This window comes from Homo sapiens, chromosome 2 (genome assembly GCF_000001405.40).
Source record: "Homo sapiens chromosome 2, GRCh38.p14 Primary Assembly".
In the NCBI taxonomy this organism is placed as follows: Eukaryota; Metazoa; Chordata; class Mammalia; order Primates; family Hominidae; genus Homo; species Homo sapiens.
Window position 1 is genome coordinate 7379787 of NC_000002.12, and position 8085 is coordinate 7387871.

At 44.4% G+C, this 8085-nt stretch overlaps 1 long non-coding RNA gene across 3 annotated transcripts; it reads left to right on the forward strand.

The window, feature by feature from the left end:
• The first annotated feature begins 391 nt into the window (after positions 1-391).
• LOC105373406 (uncharacterized) lies at positions 392-7736 on the forward strand. 3 transcript variants are annotated; one of them, XR_922747.2, is made up of 5 exons: positions 392-3128; positions 3680-3748; positions 4155-4299; positions 5062-5249; positions 7031-7736. It is a non-coding gene; the product is annotated as an uncharacterized LOC105373406 (long non-coding RNA). The 3 variants fall into 3 exon arrangements; XR_001739271.1 differs by having other exon boundaries at positions 3680-4299; XR_001739270.1 differs by having other exon boundaries at positions 392-4299.
• The last annotated feature ends 349 nt before the right edge of the window (positions 7737-8085 follow it).

An 8085-nucleotide genomic window follows, 5' to 3' on the forward strand; every position in this document is an offset into this window, starting at 1 on the left:
ATTCTTGCAGAGTTGCTCTATTCTTTTCTCTCCTTCTATCAATGCTAGTTTTCTTATTAGATGCTGGTCATTGTAGGCATACAACAATGAATCAAACATCTGTGTTTCTTCTCAAGGATTGCAGTCTGGCAGTGGAGTGAGTATAAGCCTCTATATAAACTCTGCTACATGTGGGAGTATGGACATCTCTCTCAAGAGGAGCATGGGAAGGAAGCGCAGCAGGGGCACCATCTAGGGACACTGCACGGGCTTCAGGAAAGCCATGACATTGGAGTTGCCGGTGGTGGTGGTTATGGTGGTGGTGATGGTGGTGGTGGTGGTGGTGGTGGTGGTGGTGGTGGTGGTGGTGGTGGTTCTGTGGAGACTGGGGAAGGTAGGTGAAGAACAGCTGTGGAAGTCAATGTCCCAAGACTATACCTGGAGGAGTTGGGGATGGCTTTATACATGGGGTGAGGCTTGAGAAAACATGGTGCTCATAAGGCCAAAAGACTTTGGTAGTGGTAGTATTGGCTCACGTTTCCTTTCAGATAGATTGAAAACCATGTGCAAAGGCAAAGGAGGTGAGAGAAAGCACTCAACCCCCAAGGAAAATAGGCCGAGGCCAGATCAAAAAGGTCTTTAGATATGACACCAAATGTCTCAACCTTCTTTCAGCTGATGGTGTGGTGAGCGGTTCCAACACAATACATGCTTTGGCAACTATTGTCACATGCAGACCATCTTGAGTCACATAACGTCTTGACTTTCTTAGATTCAAAATATTTTTATATCTTTTTTCTACTATGTATCCAAAGCACTTAGTTGAATAGTTTTATTTTATGCCTACTTCATGAATACTTGACTTCTAAGAAATAACTTTTCTTTCTCTAGCCTATTGTATTTACCCTACAGCCTAGCATAGATACACACCTAAAAATAATTTTTCTGGACTCAGCCTGGGAGTGAGGCTTAAATGGCAATTTATTCCTGCCTCCAGCTTATTAAAGAAATTCCCCAGTCCCCTATCGTCCCCTTCATCAATTTTGATAAGAGTCATCCAGATCCAGTGACTCAGGGACAAAACAATCACCACCTCAAGTGTTTCATTCAATCCTACAGACTAGAGCTCCAGGAAGACTGAATAGAGACACCCAGGAGAGCTTTCCTGGTTGACAGCACTCCCTGCCTATCGCCACACATTGATGCCAGGAGGGTGAGGTGAACTCACTTCAAGGCGAGAGGGCCGTTGAAGCTTCTGTTTGAAACCCTCTCAGACTCTGCCCTAAGCATCTCTTCCTCTGGCTGATTTTAATCTGTATCCTTTCCCTGCAATAAACCAAAGCCATGGGTGTAACTGTTCTGTGAGCCCTTCTAGTAAATTTTCAAAACTGAGGGTAGTTTGTGGATCCCCCCGCCAACCTTGAGGTTCATGTCAGAAGTAAGAGAGGTCTTGGGGACTGTATCCTCTAACTGTCTTGGGCAAACTCTATTCCTCTAAACTCTTTTTTTTTTTTTAACTTTTTACACTGATATTCTAGATTGTTTTTCAATCAGTAAAGCAAACCTGATAAAGAAGTTCTAAGAATCAGGCCCTTCATACCATTTATAGTGGAGGTTGCCTGGCATTCTGTGTATCATTCTAGTTCTTAGCATGCACAGCTATCTCCTCTGGATTCCATGAGGCAGGATTCATCTCAGTTCCCTCTAGCACAGTGGCTAACAGAGCAGGTACTCAGAAGTGCCTGTGACTAGAGTCACATATAAGACAGGGTCTGTTCTCAGGAGCTCAGCATGCACATGTGGAGACTTCACAGGAAAATGTAAGGACTTTCACATTGGTGGCATCTAGTTTCAAAGAGAATGGCGAGTGTCTCAGTCAGCTAGGGCTGCCATAGTAAAATTCCACACTTCTGTTGGCGTAAGCAACAGAAATGTACTTGCTCACAGTTCTGGAGACTGGAAGTCCAAGATCATAGTGCCAGCAAGGTCATGCTCTGGTGAAGCATCTCTTCCTGTCTTGTAAACAGACATCATATTGTGTGTGTTCACATGGCCTTTGCTTGGTGCATCTGCAGAGAAAGAGAGGGAGAGAAAGACAAAGAGATGGAGAGAGAGCTGTTTCTTATAAGGGCACTAATCCTATCATGGGAGCCTTACCCTCATGACCTCATCTCAACCTAATGACCCTCCCAAAGCCCTGTCTCTAACTACCATCGCATTGCGGGCTAGGGCTTCCACATAGGAATTTTGGGGGGACAAAATTCTATTTATAGCAGTGACTTAATCTGAGGTGACCCAAGCAGCTTTGAATAGGATTGGGCCTGGTGGACACAAGAGGAATGGAAAACAGGGTCTGAAGGTGTCGCTTGCAGGGTGACCCCAGGGCCCAGAATGCCCATGTCTTCTGCTCCTTAATCTCCATGTCCCAAGAGGTGCATAAGGGGACACTGGGGACACAGAAAAGCCACGTCTTCATCAGCGGAGGAAATAGCTCAGGAAAACTCCTATGCGTTCTTTGGTTTCCCTCATTATTAAGACCAATCATAGGAAAATGAGAAAGGAAAATCCACTCTTCCACCCGATATGTGTGTTCTTGTGACTCCCACCTGATGGAGACGGTTGCTAGGAAACTGTGACCACAGTCTGCAGATTCTGTCAAGGAGAAAGGACCCCCTCACCCCTGAGTTCTCCTTGAAACTCACAAAGTGCTTAGCTGCAGCCTGTGGTGCAGCATTCAGGAGAGTTAATGCTGGCAATTCACAGAGAAGGGAACTGAAGATTAGGGGCATCAGGTAGGCAGCTGGTCATGGCACCAGCGTGTGGCTTGGAGCCAGCTCCCCTGCTGCCCAGGGAGGTGCTGTCTCTATTCCATTGCACTGCCCTCAAGAAGAGGGACCTAGTTCAAAACCAGAAAGGTGAGGCTGCCATGGTCTGCCCTTTTGGGGCACCTCTGGAAGAGGGTACCTCTTCACCGAATGTCTTCCTTTGTGTGTTCTCACAGGATGGCAATCCCAGGTCTGGATTAATGCCTGTGTCTGCTGAAAAACAGTGGGACAGACAGTGCTGGTCCATGGCTGCCTTCAAAATGCTACTAAATTTCTGTCTGCCATAAAGTGGAGAGAAAAAGAGTGCAAAACTAAAACGGGAAGGTAATAGTTACATTTGCCAACTTAAAATACATTAGTCTTAGTCTTGACATCATCAAAATGAGGTGAGAGAGGATAAGGCTCAGATGTCTGGCTAGGGTTAAGAGCATGGACAACGTCACCATGCTTAGAGAGAGGGGATAGAACAAGCAGCAGGTTTAGGGAAAAATTTTCCCCAAATTTCCCACTTTTCAATTTCTGGCGTGTTGAGTGTGAGCTAATGGTTAGAAATGAGGGTGGTGATGCCCAGGGCTGGTGGGCGGGGTCCAGGGGATCATAGGAGACACAGGGAGCAGGAGTAGAGGGTACGGCTGTATGTGGTGGAATGAAGAGTAAATGGAGGGGAAGAAATGAAAGAAGCAAATGAAAACTATTCTTTTAGTAATTTTGGTAAAGAAGAGAAGGGTATGAATGAAATAGTGTAAGAGTATTTTATCAGCTGTGTTGGGATTAAGATGGCCAACTCTCAATCCAGGCTGCCTAGCTTTGAATTTTGGCTTTACCACCTTTTCACTGTGATCTTGAGCAAGTTACATAACTTCCCTGTGTTCCAGTTTCCTCATCTAGAAAACAACGATGATGATGATGTCAGTGATAACCTATTTTGTACGTTCTCATAAATGGTAAGTATGTTAATATATGCAAACTTACTGGAGCATTGCCTTGTCCATGATAAACTCAACTAGTGTTTGCTCATCTCAATTATCCAGAAAAAAAATGGAGAAGGGAGGAGGTTGGGCAGTAGTTTTGGAGGCAGATGCAATACTGAAAGAAGATATTTTTAGGATAAGTGGAGTGAATTGTGAATTCTGACTGCTCTGGTCTGATCCTAAGTTTCAGTTTTTAGCTAGGTCTGCTCAGTTCATGAAATCACAGTGGGCAGGGACCTTCACACAAAGCACCGAGGATGAGATGAATGACAGGAGAGAGGGCAGATTGGCAGAGCACTGTGTGGGAAATTAAGCAGTCCCTGGTCTCATGTCTTACCATTGCAATAATCAGAAGAGCAGGTCTCATATCTTGCCTCAGTTTTTTAGGGTTTGAAGCAACATGGATCTCTCAAATGTGAGCACCAAGACTGAAAACCACTAAGGATAATGAGAAGCTGTCTTTGTGCACACATTTTGGTCTCCTCCCATCCATGCTGGAAATAGCCACTTCAATATCATCAGAAGTAAGTTTGAAATCCATCTTTTTTGGTCCATGTTTATCATTCACTGAAAATTTGCCAGAGATACTACCTCACACACATTAGGTTAGCTACTATAAAGATAAAAAGAAAGTAACGACTGTTGACAAGAACATGGAGAAATGGTAATACGCATGCACTGTTGGTGGGAATGTAAAATGCTGCAGCCTCTACAGAAAACAGCATAGAGGTTCCTCAAAAAGTTAAAAATAGAATCCAGCAATTCCACTTCTGGAGACATATCCAAAAGAATTGAAATAAGGATTTTGAATAGGTGTTTGTACACCCATGTTCATTACAGCATCACTTATAATAGCCAAAAAATGTCCACTGACTCACGAATGAAAAAACAAAATGTGATATATACATAGAATAGTCATTCAGCCTTAAAAAGGAAGAACATTCTGATGCATGCTACAACACGGATGAAACTTGAGGGTATTACTATGTGAAATAATCCAGTCCCGAAAGACAGATATGATAGGATTCCACTTACATGAGGTACCTAGAGATAAAAAATAGAATAATGGTTTCCAGGCACCGGGGGAAGGGAGAAACGGAGAGCTGTTGTTTCATGGGTGCAGAGTTTCAATTTTGAAAAATTAAAAAAGATTCTGGAGACTGGTTACACAACAACCTGAACACACTTACCATTACTGAACTGTACACTTGACAATGGTTAAGATGATAAATTTTACGTTTTGTGTATTTTACCTCAATTAAAAATAAAAAAAAAAATATTTCCAGGGGTATAATGCTGGGAGACACTCTCTGGCCTCATGGAGTTCCCTGTCCAGTTGGATGGACACAAAGGCAAGAAGACACAGGGAGCGTGACAGCAGCTATGAGAGGTGTTGGAGCCTGCGGCTGGGGTGGGCGCGGTGCCGGAAGGCTTCCTGAAGGGAAGGGCTTCTCCACCAGATCCTAAAAACCAAGTAAGAGATAGTCAAATAAAGGAGACAAAAATATGTTAGGACGTCAAAACCATATGTGCAAATTCATGGTGCTATTCGGAAACTGCACATGTTTCTGCTGGGCTGGCACATTGGGTGGGAGTTGAGGGGTGTAAAACGTGGGGTTTGTCTTGATTTATCCAGCATCTGCTGTGCCCAACCTCAGGAGAAAAAAAAACTTGTGGACATAAGGTGACCGCTTTCAGCAGATAAAGCAGAAGTGTGGCTGTGCCCTAAAGTTTCCTCCCTGGGGAAACTTAACCATCAGAAACGTTGTCCTGAAAGGCACCAGAGTGAACTGTTTCCACTCCACAGAGGTCTACATTTGTTTGTTTCAAGCAAATACAACCTAGTCCACCACCACCCCCAAACTATCTGTTATTATCAGTCTTTCATTGACTGGTCAAATAACCACTTATTCAATTAACCAAGCAGTCTGACTACTCCATTTCAGGACTTTAATGAACACATGGGAGGGAAAAACTACAGGCATTTGGGGTTTCTTGAAACTGCTCCAACTTCAGGGTTTGATGTAAATAATCTTTGCAACTTCTGGATCCATCTCTATGCGTTTACTTTAAATATAGATGTGTTTTTTAAAAAATGCAGCACTTTGGACTTAAAGCTGAAGCTATACAATAGGTAGAGTTTTTTATAAATGGACTATAGACAATAATTGCAAAAAATGCATAGAAAAGACGAAGAGCCAACTTGAGAGACTTCCTACTTACACTTTTCCAACCATTTTCTTCAGGCCAGGAAGACAGCCTCATTTCTTGGTTTTCTAATCCACATTATAACCACAGAAAATGAGGGCCTGCTAGATCCAGAGCACCCTATTAAAGGCTGTGGAGCAGGAGAAGGAAGGAAGGGAGAGAGAGAGAGAGAGAGAGAGAGAGAGAGCAGGTGAGGGAGACAGAGATGGAGGAGTGAGAAGTAGAGAGAGAAAGAAAGAGTGAGGAGAGAGAGAGAAGGGGGAAGACAGAAAGATAAAGGAGACAGAAAGAAATAAGGAGAGAGAGAGAGAGAGACTATTGGATTCTAGTAGGAAATAAATAGATACACAATACCTGTCTTTAAAAGTTTATTATAATAAATCCCATCTGCATTAGAGATCTAAATGTCTGAGTAGAGAAAAAGTAAGATAAATTCTCAGCATCAGGGGTGGAAGGTGGAAGGATGAGCTATTAAGGGAAGGAGGTGTGGGAGTGGGAGAGGAGCCTTTCCCGGGTGCCTCTGTCCCGCAGGCCTCTCATGCACATGGCAGAGGCTGGCCCACACTTTTGAGATGGCTGATAACATACAGGATAGCAGGGGATGAACAGGTAGATAAATGAAGAAACAGGTGAGTGATTCTGAGAGCCAGACACTAGCAGCATGTGAGAATATATTTGGAAATGATTTGAATTCATACCTCCTTTATGTCCTGGTCGCCAAAGTTTCAAGGAGAGGGAAGAAAATATTGAGCTCCTACGACAATGGCAACATTTTTCTTAGGCCCTTTCTATCACTTATTCTTCACTCTCACTCTGTGATGATCAACTTTAGGTGTGCATTTTACTGGGCTAAGGGATGCCAGATAGCTGGTGGGGCATTATTTCTGGGTGTGTCTGTGAGTGCATTTCCAGGAGTGACTGGCATTGGAATCAGTGGACGGGGCAAGATCTGCAGGCACCCTATGTGGGTGGGCCTCGGATTGGCTGAGGCCTGGATAGATCGAAACAGCAGAAGAAAGGCTAATTCTTTCTCTCTCTCTTCTGGAGCTGGAACAGACTTTTTCCTCCTGCTATTGGGCATCAGAAGCCCAAGTTCTCTGGCCTTTGGACTCCAAGACCTGCAACAGTGCCATGGTTTCCCTCCTGGCCCCAGTGGATTTCAGTGCTGACTGAAAGTTACACCATCAGCTTCCTTGATTCTGAGGCCTTTGGGCATGGACTGAGTCACCCTGCCAGCTACCCCGGTTCTCCATAATCATGTTAGACAGTTCCCGTAAGTCCCTTCTTGTTATCTCTCTATGTATCCTATTGGCTCTGTGTCTCTGGAGAATCCTCACTAATACATATCCTTTGAGTTGGATAGAATTCTCTCCATTTACAGATGAGAAAACTGTGCCTCAGGGAGGCTTAATGCTCAAATTCATTCGGCTATTAAATGGAGAGCCCCAGTTGGAATCCAGGCCCACCGGACATGTACTGTCTACCTGCCTTGGGTGCTGTTCCCAAGGGGCATGAGTGTTCATGGGTGGCAATGGAATCCCTAGTCCAGTTCAGTGGCGCTTACCTTTTGAAAGTTTAGAGACCTCAGGAACCTCATGCTGATTGGAAATGTGCTTTTTCCTGCCTGACCTTTGATACGGTTTCACTGTGTCCCTACCCAAATCGCATGTTGAATGGTGATCCTGAGTGTTGGAGGTGAGACCTGGTGGGAGGTGATTGGATCATGGGGGTGGTTTCTAATGGTTTAGCACCATCCCCGTAGTGCTGCCTCATGATAGAGTTCTCAGGATAACTGATTGTTTAAAAGTGTGTAACACCCCCTCACCACTACCACCCCTCTCTTTCTCCTGCTCTGACAATGTGAGACCTGTTTGCTTCCCCTTCACCTTCTTTCATAATTGTAACTTTCTTGAGGCCTCCCAGCCATGCTTCCTGTACAGCCTGTGGAACTGTGAGTCAATTAAACCTCTTTTCTTCATTAATTACCCAGTCTTAGGTAGTTATCTGTAGCAATGAGAGAATGGACAAATACACCCCTGAAGTCTACAGTTCTCCCAAGCCAAGGCTGGTTTGGAAGCTGCCAGCCTGGTGATGGTGGGGGT